Here is a 16,168-nt window from a genome sequence, read left to right on the forward strand (position 1 = left end):
AGGAAGAGAGTCTTTGAACAAGGGCATTGTCAACTGTGTATAATTCTGCCAAGGAGTCAAGTAAGGGCAGAACTGAATATTGTGTGGTGGAAAGTCTGAGGAATGCTGGTAGCAGAAGCGAGTGAGAAGGGTAAGTGCAACAGCTCTTTCAAGGCACTTGATGGTAAAAGGAAACAAAGAACTTGAGTGGAAGCTCCAAGACTGGATAAAAGATTATCCTTTTTGTAAATCTGTTTAAGTTCGTTATAGATTCTGGATATTAGAAGTTTGTCAGATGGATAGATTGCAAAAATTTTCTCTCATTCTGTAGGTTGCCTGTTCACTCTGATGATAGTTTCTTTTGCTGTTCAGAAGCTCTTTAGTTTAATTAGATCCCATTTGTCAATTTTGGTTTTCATTGCAATTGCTTTTGGGGTTTTATTCATGAAGTCTTTTCCCATGCCTATGTCCTGAATGGTATTGCCCAGGTTTTCTTCTATTTTTTTTTATGGTTTTAGGTTTTATGTTTAAGTCTTTAATCCATCTTGAGCTAATTCTTGTGTAAGGTGTAAGGAAAGGGTCCAGTTTCAGTTTTCTGCATATGGCTAGCCAGTTTTCCCAGCACTATTTATTAAATAGGAAATCCTTTCCCAATTGCTGGTTTTTGTCAGGTTTGTCGAAGATCAGATGGTTGTAGATGTGTGGCCTTATTTCTGAGGCCTCTGGAAACCATAATTCTCAGCAAACTAACACAGGAACAGAAAACCAAACACCGCTTGTTCTCACTCATAAGTGGGACTTGAACAACGAGAACACATAGACACAGGGAGGGGAACATCACACACCGGAGCCTGTCAGGGGGTGGGTGGGGGAAAGGGGAGTGAGAGCATTAGGATGAATGCATGCAGGGCTTAAAACCTAGATGACGGGTTGATAGGTGCAGCAAACCACCATGACACATGTATACCTATGTAACAAACCTGCACATTCTGCACATGTATCCCAGAACTTAAAGTATAATCATAATAGTAATAGAGAAAAGATTATCCTTCGACCCTTGATCTCCCACGCTCCCTCATCCCCAACCTAAATGGAAAGTATCGAGCAATTAAATGTTAATGGGGAAGAAACCAAGAAAATTTCAAGATACACGAGAGAAACAACTCTTAGAATGAGTTTGCCAAATACCCTAAAGGTATGAAATTCCAAGTACAACTGAAATGATTAGACTTTGACTTTAGAAGAGATATTTTAGAAGAGATGTCTCTGTGGAGACATGCAAATTTGTGTATTTCATCACAGGACGTCCTTAGCTCCTATTTCTCTATGAAAGAAGTTGAAAGATCATTTGTTGAAAGTTATGGGAGAAATGGTAGATTTGGTGTTCGGGGAGATTGAATAATTCTACATGGTTAATAACATTGACTTCAATATTTGGTGCATGATTTCACAAAGAGTAGAACTTTGGAGTCTGCATTAACTATTTAATCCTTTTGGATCATTTTGAAGGTTAAAATGTGAGGCAAAATGACGATAGGGTGTGTTACTTTTTTGCCTTTTTGTAATTATTTTTCTTTTTCTACCATATATGAATAAGAAAATACTTTACATTACACAACACTTTTGTTTCTTAGACATCGTCTTCAGTTTTTTCCATTCCATGCTTATCTGAATATAGAATACATATTTATATATAGTACTGATAATTTTCCAGAAGTGAATTATAGCAGGTATTTCTGAGATCAAGGATATGGCAAATTGCCTGGTTTAAATTTTCATAAACACGCAGTACAAACAGAGGATTTTTAAACAGTGATTTTGGAGTTATATTATGGTACAAACACAGGAAAAAAAGAAGGCTTACCAGAGAATATACTAAATAAATATTAAATAAAAGGACAGGAACTTGGAAAATGCTTTGTAATGCTGAGTAATTCACCTTATAGAGTATTTTCTATTTCTGTCCCTTTCAACTTAACGAATGTGATATATCAGCTGTGGATGACATTCATAATTCCACTAAATTAATCATTGTTAGCATCTGTAAGTCCACTGCTTTAAATTTTTCAGCTGCTAAATAGATTTTCTTTACAAATCCATTAATCTAAATCTAAAGTTGAAGAGGCAAGTGACAAAATTAAGGTTATTTTGAGTCCAAAGCATAATTTTAAAATGTTCAAAGTAATTCTGTTTTTAAAGGAGAAAGTATAGTTGTTTAATTAATCTGTTCATCAGTTTTCCCTGCTATATTGTTTTAATGGCTTTAGTTGTATAATATTTTATTTATTACTTATTATTTTTTATTTATTTTTTTACTCCTCCATGCCTAGAGTATACAAGTAACAGTGAGGAAGCCAGAAGGTCTGGAGTAGCATAAGGACCAGGAGTAGGAGATGAGGGCTGAGGAGTTATCGGATCATGTGGATAATAAGGACTTTGATTTATATAATAAGTTGATTGAGAAGCTACTGAAGAAAATTGAGCAGGAGAGTTTCATGATCTGAATTGCTTTTTAAAAAGCTTTATTTGGTTGCTCTCTTGAGAAAGGAAGTATGAGGCTGCATGTAGAAGCAGAAAGAATGGAGGCTATTAAAATAACCGAAGTAATAGATCATGGTGGTTTTTGATCAGAATAATGGTGGAAATGGAGAGAAGTAACTGGATTTACTATGTATTGTGAAGGGCAAGCTGATTGAGTTAGCTTTAGTTTGGATGTGGCATGTGAGAGAATAAAGAACATATTCAATAATTTTGGGAAGGATGGTATTGCCATTTACTGAGGTGACAAAGACTGACAGAGAAACAGTTTTGAGGGAGAAGTTCTGAATTTGGCTTTCCAGTGTGTCAAGTCTGGGATACCCTTTAGAGGTGTTGAGTAGGAAGTTGGACATGTGCATTCAAAGTTCAGTGGAGAACTAGAGGCTGGAGACAGACACTTAAAAATTGCCAGCATTGCAATTAGTACAAATGAGGTAGGTGCACGGGAACTGTCCAATGGAGTAGATCAGAAACACAACAGGCACCGGGACCAAACTTCAGTACACTCCAGTATTAAACTCTACTTCCCAGATAAATTTTTTTCTTTATGTATTTAAAAAATTACCTAGAGGATTATATTTTATTATTTAAATTTTTGAATTTGCTGTGTCCTTAATTTATGAGTCTAATATATTCTTATTTTTTTCTTGAAGATAGTGATTACAGTAGTTGTTTTTTAACTAATATTCTCTTTTATATCTTACATTGGATCCAGTTTTTTCTCTCCATTTCCACCATTATTCTGATCAAAAACCACCATGATCTCTTACTTCAGTTATTTTAAGAGCCTCTGTCCTTTCTCCTTCTCCATGTGGCCTCCCTTTTCTTGTTTTTTATTTCCCCTATAGACATTCTGTTTCTTAATCTCAGCCTTGACTATTCCTGTTTTTCTTGTTTTGTTTTGCTTTTCTGCCACTCTTATGTTCTTCACATGCCCAGAGATCTTTGATTTTTCCACTCACAATGATGAATGATATGGATTTATTTGAGGTATTTGGTGTGGGTTTCCTTTGCTGCTGTTTATAAAAACTTGCTTTCCTGCCTCCTCTCTCTTTTGAGTGGTACAGTTCATTGAGAGTTCTGTTGACAATGGAAGGGTTTATTATTGGATTTAATTCCCTGTAGTTTAATGACAAGGTTTCAGAGGTTAAACGGGGGCATTCAGTTACCGAAATGAATTCGATATTCTTTTGGTGGACCTAAACCAAAACTGGTTGCTTTCATTTTTCTTCTGCTAGCCTCTGTTTTATACTCTTTTGGCCAGGGACTAATGCCACATTGTCTATTTAACTTCCATGATAGTGAGCTGGACTTGCATATTCAGACTTTCAAATAACTCTGTGGTATTATCTCTTGTCCTCGTCCTTGCCTTCTGTGTGCTCTCTTTATGTTACCAGCTCTGAACATGGAGTCTTTCTGTAGTGTTTTGGGAAATCAGGCTTCTACCATTATTGTAGCTGATTTCTAGTATACTTGGACTATGACATTTTCTGCTCTTTCCTTTACTACCTCTTGCTATCAGTTTATTGCCTTTTAGACAATTATTTCAATGGCCTTTAGGTTTATAATTATAGATGCAATAATGGTTTAACACTCAGGTAATGCATTTGGCAAGAACTTTCTTAAAATTTGCTTCCTCCAGTTATTATCTTTGTGAATTTAGAAAAGTTACTTAAGTCTCTTAACAACATGGTTCCCTTTTCTGTAGAGGAGGGATAATGATAAGAATACCTAACATATAGGATTACTGTTAGCATTAACTAAGGCAATATATATCAAGTTCAGTTCCTGGGGACTAGTACATGCTTAATATTACTATTACTAATAACAACATTATGAGTACTACTTTTGTATTTTTAAACAGATAGTATAACATTAGTTTTTGTATTTTAATTTGTTATAAGTTGCATACATATTATGGATGATGGAAACATTTACCTACATAGCTTAAAATATATGTCAATACAACAAAACATAGCTTAAAATATATGTCAATACAACAAAACATAGCTTAAAATATATGTCAATGCAACAAAACATAGCTTAAAATATATGTCAATACAACAAAAACAGCATATATGTGTGCAACTACACATTTTATGTATTTATCAAATTTCACGGTTCTGCTGAAAATTTTTAATTTCAAGAACAGCTGTGGGAAAATAATCATTATTTGCATTTGTAGGACTTTTCTCACCTTTCTGTTTTTTTCTGCAGTCATTTTCTCTGGAAATTTATTGGCAGCTTTTATAGATGTTCTTCATATATTTTATCAGCCCAAGCAGTGTGTGTGTATGTGTGTGTGTGTGTGTGTGTGTGTGTGTGTGTGTGTGTGTGTATATATATATACTTTATTTCCATTGCCCAAGTTTGTCTCTGTTACAATTAATATACTATTAATGCTTTATAGAAAATAGACATAAAAAGGATTACAGAGAATACTGAGGTACTAATATTCAGGATGAAAAGATAAGGGTTAATTGGTTAGTTTAGAAACCAGTTGGTCAATTGTTTCGGAGTTTGTGGAGGTAACTGAGTTATGCCTATTTTTCAACTGATAAATTGGGATTTATGGAGATTTGCTGATTTTTTTTTACAGGTTAGCATTTTTGAACTACAAGTATAACAATAAACAGTTCAACCACAATCATTACATCATCAGCAACAAGCCTGCCAGAATCCACATAGGAAAAAGGCAAAACAACACTAAAGCTAAATGAAGGACTAATGTGGATTATCCTGTAACCACCCTATATAGCATCCTGTGATTGTAATTTCAACTTTCTTTTTCAGTTTGACATTCTTCTTGGTCAACATAATGATGAAATGCAAGAACTGTCAGGCAATATAAAGGAAGAATCCAAATCTCAAAACAGCAAAGACAGAGTGATTTGTGAGTTAAGAGCAGAGGTAAGACACTGGGTAAAGAGTACCATATATATTAAAACATAACTGACTGTTGTTAAATGCCATACTATTTTAAGTAGGGTAACGGTCGTGCCTTTGGTTACTTTATGAAAGTGAATGCTGCTGCTAATGTAATCAGCTTATATGTGATTTAAAAGGCTGTGGAATGACATTGGCCCATAACTAGATCTGAACTATTTGAATATTACAAAGATGAAATATTTGACTATGAAACTATCTTATAGCCAATACAAGTCTTACTGTGCATAAATATTTTTTAAAAGTTCAACCAGCTGCTGGATCATGTGTGTTCATTTATTTTCAGAACCAATGACATACAAGATATGTGTCATGCAATTTCTGGTGGAATTAACATTGCTATTGGAAGCTAACAACAGTGAGAGATAAAATAAATTCACTTTTGTTATAGTTAATTCATTTCTTAGGTACACCAAGTAGTGAAAACACTTATTTTTCCACTCCTGCCACCACCAACAATAAATGAATTTTCGCAAATGTGTAAACACTGAGTGTTTTTTACTGTTCTGTAGGTAAGAACAGAATTATTGTCCTTGTAGAAAGGAGAAGGGATTGAATTATTTGTACTTCATAGAAAATAGCATGATGACATTAAAAATGGAAAATCACAAATTACTTGTCTTGGAACAGATAATTCTGGGAAAATATCTTGGAAACAAATGTGTAAGAGCAATTTACAGACTGAAATGAATTTAATGCAACTGTAGGCTGGTAGAAAACTGATTTGTATTAGGTTTTCTTCCTTATATAACTCTTCAAATTCTGAACTGACATCAGAGTATATTTACATCAGATGAATATAGTGCAATGGGAAATATACAGATTTTGGAGCTAGAAATCAGCTCCTGATTACTTTATTCTGGTCAACTCCATAAGCATCTCTGAGTGTCAGTCTCCAGATTAAAATAATAGTAATAATAATATTAATAATAATCATGAAACAGGATTTTGGAAAATGTATATACTGCAAGGGAACAGTTTTCTGAGACAGAGTGCTCTAGTATTGGAACTTAACAGCTAAGCTGCTTAGGAGAATTATATCCTCCCTGTGTTCCTCCTCATCACATCAATGCCATCCGTTGACAGCTCTTCTATAAGTCCTAAAAGGGGTGTTGGGGTGAGATGGCATGTTTCAAGAGGTCCATTATGAGAAAGGCTGAACTGTTGAATACAAATCTTCCTAAGTCAAAGGGAAAAATTGGTGGCTTTCATAACTTTTGTTTTCTAAGAGGAATCAGACTATCAGGATAGATATCTCTTTTTCTTGACCCTCAGCTCTGAGAAGCATCTTTCATTAAACATTGTACAACATGTTGTATAAAAGTTTATTTAATAGTTAACAGCAAAAAAGGAAGAAAGCACATATAGATATTTATTTAATATTTAATCTTTAGTTCTGCGAATATTGTATCTGCTGTGCTGTGTTCTGGTAACTCAATGGTGTGGGATGTAGAAATGGACTTGCCTTCAGAGAACAGCCTTCAGTGAGGGGTACAGTATTCACCAGAGATCATACCTTTCAGTGTAAGTTGTCAACAGTTTGGGAGCTGTACAGCAAATGTGAATGATGCTAGGGGGATTGCCCTAGCCAGAAATTTTAGATGAAATACAAGATATTTTATTTACTGACATAGTTAAATAGCATTATCTTTGACATGAAGGATATTGTATAATTAGAACTCCGGGGTCATCATAATTTAATTTTTAGAGATTGTCACAGTAGGTGTTGATCTGAATTGATTTAAATCTCCTGTATCTCAATTCCTCTTATTGACTTTACATGTTCTAGCAAAGAGATTTTCAATTACTGAGAATATGATGAATATATTAGAAATGGTTACATGATTTTGGAGCAGGATATTGAGGAATGAAAGCAGGTTAATTCAGAAGACTGTTAGTGATATAGATTTAAACATTCTGGGTTTATATTGACAAAACTCAGGAAACAGAATATATAAAATGAGATTTATATGACTAAACCACTGGAGAAAAATAACAGTCTGGGAAAACAGAATCAAGCTGTCACAGAGAAATATACTTTCTGGTCATTTAGATAAATACAAGTTTAAATACTCCATTTTTTCAAGAATAAAACTGTTACTTATTCTGCATTTATAGAAATCTGATAAATAGAAAGTTGAATAACCAATGAAAGCCTGTAATCATTTATCCAGGAAATATTAGGTGCCTTGAGTAACAGATATTTCTTTCAAAAAATTTAAACTATATAGTTTGAAATAAAATACTGAAAATAATCTTTGATAGCACATCAGTAGTAGCTTTTCTTGGTAGCTAGGTCTTCTGAAAAGATTTCTAGCTAACTTAGGTTGATGATTGAATTATAGTCTGAGGTTTATTGCCTCCTTTAAGTTTCTTACTGTCTTCTATTAGATAAAGAAGAGCTCAATGACGATTGTGATGTGAGTGGGAAAAGAAGGGACTGTATCAATTAAAACTGTAAATATTAGCTTGTCTTAGGAATAGCCCACCTCCCTTCTTTAGAAAGTCTGCATATTTTAGTGCCAACCTCAACACATCTAGTGTTTAACACCTTCAAGCTACTTGCGATCTTTAATATGATGCCATCCAGCTCTTATCTTCCTTAGGACACAAACACATACATTTGAACTTTTCCTGTAAGTTGTGTACAATTCTTCTAAGACCCTGTTTACTGCGTCCCATGAGGTCACAAGTCAGCTTAGCAAGTCTACACTAACATGCTAATTTCTTTCATGTCAACATATCAATTGTTACTCTCAATGCTTCCAATCCAAAACTGCTTTGCTAACACTCTTACAGTTGTGTTTAACACGGATTCTAATTTCCAGTGGAGAGAAATTTTCTGTTTTACATGGGAGGTCATTGACTTAGAACTTTTCCATCATTATCATCAAACGTTTTCCTTAGAAAACATGTTTTCCTATGAACTGACACCTTCTGGAAACATATGCCTTAAATCAAACAAACAATTACATTTCTCTTCTGCTAAAATCCCTGGTTAATATGAGTATGGCATAAAAAGGAAAGGAAAGGGCCTGACAGTTTAGGTGGTGGAGTTCTTAACTTCATTCTGCAATAGTGCGTGGCTCGTAATCACTCAACAAATGGCCATTAATTGAATGAATGAGGGAAGGATAAGGACAAAGCACATATCAAAAAAGAGAGCCTTCTATTTTAACTTTCTATGAGGTCGAAAGTAAAAGCAAAATAAGAATGGAGGAAGGGCAAAGCTGTCTATATTCATTTGGAATATGATTTGTTCTATATTTGACTCCTTTCTGTTTGTTTGTTTGGAGATAGGGTCTCACTCTGTCACCTAAGCTGGATTGCAGTGGCACAATCTCGGCTCACTGCAACCTCTGCCTCCTGGGCTCAGGCAATTCTCTCACCTCAGCCTCCCAAGTAGCTGGGACTACAGGTGCGCACCACTATGCCTGGCTAACTTTTGCATGTTTTTGTAGAGACCGGGGTCTCACCATGTTGGCCAGGCTGGTCCTGAACTCCTAAGCTAAATGATCCACTCACCTCGGCCTCCCAAAGTGCTGGGATTACAGGCGTGAGCCACCACGCCTGGGCTAGATTTGACTACATTTGATTCACTCAAAGCACGTTGGTCACTAGTATGGTCTGAATGTGTGTGTGTTCCCCAAATTTATATACTGACATCCTAACTTCCAAGGTGAAATCAACTCCTTTAGGAGTTGATTAAGTTATGAGGGCAATTAGAATTAGTGCCCTTAAAAAAGAGACCCCAGAGAGTTAGCTCACGCCTCTACCATGTGGATACACAGGGAGAAAGTGCTGTGTATGAACCAGAAAGCAGGTCCGCACCAGGTACAAAATCTACTGGCAACTTAAGCTTGGATTCCAGGCTCCAGAACTGTGAGAAATAAATTTCTCTTGTTTATAAGCTACCCAGGTTATGATATTTTGTGGCCTAAATGGACTAAGACAGTCACAAGCACAGATGGGCAAGTGTAATTATTTAAAGGACAGAACTATCAAAAAAACTAGTGGCGGTGTGTCCGGAATTGGTGGGTTCTTGGTCTCACTGACTTCAAGAATGAAGCCACGGACCCTCGTGGTGAGTGTTACAGTTCTTAAGGTGGAGTTTGGAGTTTGTTAACTCCAAAGGTCGCGTCTGGAGTTTGTTCCTTCTGATGTTCGGATGTGTTCGGAGTTTCTTCCTTCTGGTGGGTTCGTGGTCTCGCTGGCTCAGGAGTGAAGCTGCAGACCTTCGCGGTGAGTGTTACAGCTCTTAAGGCAGCATGTCTGGAGTTGTTCATTCCTCCCAGTGGGCTCGTGGTCTCGCTGGTTTCAGGAGTGAAGCTGCAGATCTTCGCGGCGAGTGTTACAGCTCTTAAGGCAGCATGTCTGGAGTTGTTCATTCCTCCCGGTGGGCTCTTGGTCTCGCTGGCTTCAGGAGTGAAGCTGCAGATCTTCGTGGTGAGTGTTACAGCTCATAAAAGCAGTGTAGACCCAAAGAGTGAGCAGTAGCAAGATTTATTGCAAAGAACGAAAGAACAAAGCTTCCACAGTGTGGAAGGGGACTCGAGCGGGTTGCCACTGCTGGCTCAGGCAGCCTGCTTTTATTCTTTTATCTGGCCCCACCCACATTCTGCTGATTGGTAGAGTCCAGTGGTCTGTTTTGACAGGGTGCTGATTGGTGGATTTACAATCCCTGAGCTAGACAGAAAGGTTCTCCACGTCCCCACCAGATTAGCTAGATACAGAGTGTCAACACAAAGGTTCTGCAAGGCCCCACCAGAGTAGCTAGATACAGAGTGTTGATTGGTGCATTCACAAACCCTGAGATAGACACAGGGCGCTGATTGGTGTATTTACAAACCTTGAGCTAGATACAGAGTGCCGATTGGTGTATTTACAATCCCTGAGCTAGGCATAAAGGTTCTCCAAGGCCCCACCAGAATAGCTAAATACAGAGTGTCGATTGGTGCATTCACAAACCCTGAGCTAGACACAGGGTGCTGATTGGTGCATTTACAAACCTTGAGCTAGATACAGAGTGCCGATTGGTGTATTTACAATCCCGGGGCTAGACATAAAGGTTCTCCACGTCCCCACCAGACTCAGGAGCCCAGCTGGCTTCACCCAGTGGATCCCGCACCAGGGCTGCAGGTGGAGCTGCCTGCCAGTCCTGTGCAGTGCGCATGCACTCCTCAGCCCTTGGGTGGTCGATGGGATTGGGCGCTGTGGAGCAGGGGGCGGTGCTCATCGGGGAGGCTTGGGCCCCACGGGAGCCCATGGAGGGGGTGGAAGGCTCAGGCATGGCGGGCTGCAGGTCCCGAGCCCTGCCCCGCCCAAGGCAGCTAAGGCCCGGTGAGAAATCGAGCGCAGCGCCGGTGGGCTGGCACTGCTGGGGGACCCAGTACACCCTCCACAGCCACTGGCCCAGGTGCTAAGCCCCTCATTGCCCGGGGCCGGCAGGGCTGGCCAGCTGCTCCGAGTGCGGGGCCCACCAAGCCCATGCCCACCCGGAACTCCAGCTGGCCCGCAAGCACCGCGCGCAGCCCCGGTTCCTGCTCGTGCCTCTCCCTCCACACCTCCCTGCAAGCTGAGGGAGCCGGCTCCAGCCTTGGCCAGCCCAGAAAGGGGCTCCCACAGTGCAGCGGTGGGCTGAAGGGCTCCTCAAGTGCCGCCAAAGTGGGAGCCCAGGCAGAGGAGGCGCCGAGAGCCAGCGAGGGCTGTGAGGACTGCCAGCATGCTGTCACCTCTCAGCGGGGCAACTAAGTCATGAAGATAACCCCATTTTCATACAACAACTCTACTTTCAGGGTGAATTGGAGAAATTCACTGTCCTCTAAACCTTTTGTTGAATTGAGTTACTTCTTTAATGGAGTAAATTGTTTCTCTCAAATACTATTAGAAATTCTCCTGCATTTGAATATTTAAGCAGTGGAAAATGTTGTTAAATAGCTTCCATAAATTTATGATTAGTAAAATATGGCTTGATGTACTTTTTAATCCTAGTAGTCACAAGTAGTTATTGGAACAATTATTTCTAACAGTGATTTACCATATTGGTTTTTATTTTGACTATTGATCTGTTCAAGTTCAAAACAGCTCTTCTGGAATTGGGTTTTATAGGTTGAGGCATTTCTTTCTGTGTAGTTAGCAATGACTCAAGTGCCCTGAAAAATAGAAAAATTATCTTCTGTTCATATTTGAGTCTCTGATTTTAGGCTTTCTAGAAATCACCAAGACAATAATTGCTTTACTGAAGAAATAACTCAGACTGGTGATAAATCAAAACAATTATGCTTTGCAATTATTTTATTAACCAATGAGTGGAAGATGTCATTTGGAGGTGAGCAGGGATGAAAAGAAAAATAAACAGGCCAAGAAGCTTTCCCCTTCAAAGAAGCAAAACTATTTAATATGTGCATCCTTGTCTTAAATACTGAAATTAATGGAAGATGCATAAAGATCTATTAAAATACTCTGTTCAGATTGAGTATCACTAGATATTTAGAGCTAATGTTTATGAATACTTTGTAGGTCTCATGTGCCTTGTAAGGACATAAAACATTAGATTTCATTTAATCAACACATCAATTTTATAAGATAATGTGATTGTTAATTTTATGTGTCAACTTGACTAGGCCATAGGGTGCCCAGACATTTGTCCAAATATTATTCTGGGTGTGTCTGTGAGGATGTTTCAGGATGCAATTAACACTTGAATGGGTGCATTGAGTAAAGCAGATTGCCTTCTCTAATGTGGGTGGATTTCATCCAAACAATTGAAGACCTAAATAGAACAAAAAGGCTGAGAACGAGGGAACTACTGATGCCTAACTGCTTGAGCTGGAACCTTGATCTGCTCCAGCCTTTGGATTTGGACTGAAACATCAGAACTTCTTGAGTTTCCAGCTTGCTGTCTACAAATCTTGGGACTTAGCTTCTATAATTTCATGAGCCAATTCCTTATAATTTATCTCTCCCATTCTCTCTGTCTCTCTCTGTCATTAAACCTCACGCCCTTGACCACTATGTGATACTGCTTTACACCACCAAAAATTACCTAAACATTTTATGTATTTGTTCATTGTATTGTTATAAATTTATTTGTACATTTTTGAGAATATAACTCTCCTATGCTAGACTCCTAAGCAAAAACATGTAAATCAAGCAAAAGGAGTTATAATACATCTTTTAATACAATGTGGCTAAATAATAATAGGAACACTTCTTTTTAAAAATATGTTAAAAATATTTTAACTATTATTAGCATTTTAATAAGATTTTAAAAATCAAATATCCTTAAAGAGCCAATGATAATTTGCATTGCAAAAGCTGACTTTGCATGTTGCGCTTTAGCCACACAAATAAAAATATAAATAAATAAACAAGACAATTATTGTTACCACTTAGACAATACAAAATAATGCCTTATAGCTTTGAGAAATAAAATGAGAGATGATCTGTGTCAGAACATCCAACCTCTTTTCTTACAATGACTTTAGCAACATGTTCCTTCTCCTAAGGAAGTCTTTGATATTTCTCACTCCAAGCCCAAAACCTGAAAAAGAAATGAGCAAAGCCAGTGACAACTGATAGTATTAATAAAATATCCCCATGTTTTCCCCTTCACATCAGTCTCTGCATTTAAAAGGATTGATTAGTTCCTACACAATCCATTGATTTATTTCTAGAATCTAGAGTGATATATGACCATGTTTGATAGAAATTGGATTAAGTTATTGTAAACATGTAACCAATTTATTCATTTTAGCTCCTAAATAAGCCAAGAATGTAACTATTATTCCAGGCTCATATTTCATTTAAACGTTTTTTCTCACTACCTAGTATATAGAATTACTTATCTTTACAAACAACAATAAAAGGATTGCCACATTTTCAAGAGAAGCCAAAGAGGAGGATTAATTTTTTACATCTGGAAAATTAAATATAGATACTGTTTCCTACTTTCTCTTCGATCCCAGAGTGTTTGGAATGTAACCATAAAAAATAATGAGATCATGTCCTTTGCAGGGACATGGATGGGGCTAGAGGCCATTATCCTTAGCAAACTAATAAAGGAACAGAAAACCAAATACTGCATATTCCACTTAAAAGTGGGAGCTAAATGATAAGAACACATGGACACGTAGAGGGGAACAACACACACTGGGTAGACGGTGGAAAGAGGGAGAGGATCAGGAAAAAACAACTAATGGGTATTAGGCTTAATACCTGAGTGATGAAATAATCTGTTTAACAAACCCCCATGACACATGTTTACTTGTGGAACAAACCTGCACATGTATGCCCAAACTTAAAAGTATATATAAAAGGCTGGGCATGGTGGCTCATGCCTGTAACTCCAGCACTTTGGGAGGCTGAGGCGGATGGATCATGAGGTCAGGAGTTGGAGACCATGGTGAAACCCAGTGTCTACTAAAAAAAATACAAAAAAATTGCCAGGCATGGTGGCACATGCCTGTAATCCCAGCTGCTCAGGAGGCTGAGGCAAGAGAATCGCTCAAACCCAGGAGGCAGAGGTTGCAGTGAGCCGAGATCACACCATTGCACTCCAGCCTGGGTGACAGAGCTAGAGTCTATCATGAGAAAAAAAAATGTATATGTATAAAAAGAAACAACAGGTAGCTCTGATAATGGGTGAAAGAAGAACAGAAAATAGGAGGGTTGGTTAAAATCATATGTACGATTTTGTTCAACCCTAGATCTCTCCCTTCTTCTCACATAGCCAGCCAATGCTTACACTTTTCCTACTGTAGAGAAAGACTGGAAGGTTTTTTATCTGGAAAAATTGAGACAGAAGAACTCTAAACTAAACCATTGTGCGTGCAACTGAGGGACTAATTACTGTCAACAGGGGGATTTAATGACATTGTGCATAAAGAACAGGGAAACTCTTAATATGCTTTAGTTGTTTTAACTCCAAGAAAATTCATTTCACAAAAGAGTGGAACATTTCTCTCTGAGTACAGTGCCCTTCTCAAAGGAAAATAGAGACTGGAAGCTCCACTATCTTTACTTAAGTCCCTTGGTTAATAAGCCCCTCCTGTTTGTACACTAAACATCCAATCGGCTTTTTAGTAACTCATTCTTAAATATAAATTAACATCTAAAAATTTCCTGTTATGGAGAAGTTTTAACATCCGGTAGAAAGTTTTTTAAAAACTAGAAAAGTATCAGTAGAAAAGAAAACAATAGTGGTAGTCTGTGGGGAAAAGGGAACACTCATACACTGTTGGTGGGAATATAGATTGGTACAGCCATCATGGAAAACAATACCAAGGTTTCTAAGTAAGTTCAAAATGGAACAATCATGTGACCCAGCAATTCCTCCTCTGCGAATATACATAAAGGAATGAAAACACCACCTTGTTAAGATACAGCACTCCCACGGTCATTGCACCATTATTCACAATAGTCAAGATATAGAAACAACCCAGTGTTCACTTATGAAAAAAATGGTTAAAGAAACTGTGATAAGTATATACAATGGAATATGTATTCAGCTCTAATAAAGAATGGGATTATGTATTTGCAACAACATGGATGGGCCAGTAGGACATTATACTAACTGAAATAAGCCAAACACAAAAAGAAAAATATTGCATATTCTCACTTACATGTGAACTCTAAAAATAAAATTCAAATATATAGAGATAGAGAACAAAAAAGTGGGTCCCAGGGACATTGTTGGGGATGACGAAATGGGCAGATGTAGGTCAGAGGCTACAAGGCAACAGAAATACATACAATACAAATACACACACACACACACACACACATATACACACACACATCTCCATCATATATACATATACATCTCCCCATCGTATATATATACACACATATATATATGTATCCTCTGACCTACATCTCCCCATTTCATCACATTATATATTATTATATTCATTATAATATATTTATATATATTTATATATGTATAATGAATCAGTCTGGAGATCTAATGTACAAGATGAGAAATACATGGTAACAGAACTGTACTGTATATGAGATTCATGCCAAATGAGTAGATTTTAACTGTTCTTGACACAAAAATAAATGAACAAAAAATAGGTAACTATGTGAGGTGATGTATATGCTAATTTGCTAAACTACAGTAGCCTTGCCACTGTCTATATACATTATAACATCATGTGGCATACCTTAAATATATACAATGCAATTTATTTTTAAAAAATAATTCTGGTAGTAGAAGTAGATTAAAAGCCCTCTATCTAATATCCAAACAGCAAAAACATTGATTAGCCCAAAAATAACAAAATGTTACATAAAATGTAACATGGAGAAAACGAAAATATTGCTCTTAGGACATGGATACATGATAACACAAATGAAAATTAAAATATATGATTTGGAGTTGAAAGTTGAATGAGTCACCCAGAAAGTAAACCACAAAGATAAGGATGTAATAAAAAAGGAAGTTTCTTAACATTAATTTAGCAATTAGTCCCCCAAATTCAGAGCTCCTTAAAAAAGAAGTTTAAAAGCGAGAGAATTAGAAAAACAAAATTCTTCCAAATGAAGGTCATGATGGTTTAGATGAATATATCCATCCAATAAGTAGCATAATAATACCAAAAAGACAGAGCAAAGTTCATTTCATTAAAGTTCGTAACACTGGAATACAATAAACTGCCTGAAAGCAAGCAGTGATAGATAAATAAATGAGCACATATAGATG

The 16,168-nt window shown here is 37.2% G+C and overlaps 1 protein-coding gene across 8 annotated transcripts in view; it reads left to right on the top strand.

The window, feature by feature from the left end:
• The window catches only part of CCDC102B (coiled-coil domain containing 102B), a 342,906-nt gene that overhangs the window by 154,143 nt on the left and 172,595 nt on the right, over positions 1 to 16,168 (top strand). For all 8 annotated transcript variants that reach the window (XM_047437804.1, XM_017025973.2, NM_001093729.2 and 5 more), the window contains one exon: positions 5,311 to 5,427. In XM_047437804.1, coding sequence (XP_047293760.1) covers positions 5,311 to 5,427 — 117 coding nt within the window. The remainder of the gene's footprint in view (positions 1 to 5,310; positions 5,428 to 16,168) is intronic.

This window comes from Homo sapiens, chromosome 18 (genome assembly GCF_000001405.40).
Source record: "Homo sapiens chromosome 18, GRCh38.p14 Primary Assembly".
NCBI classification, from domain to species: Eukaryota; Metazoa; Chordata; class Mammalia; order Primates; family Hominidae; genus Homo; species Homo sapiens.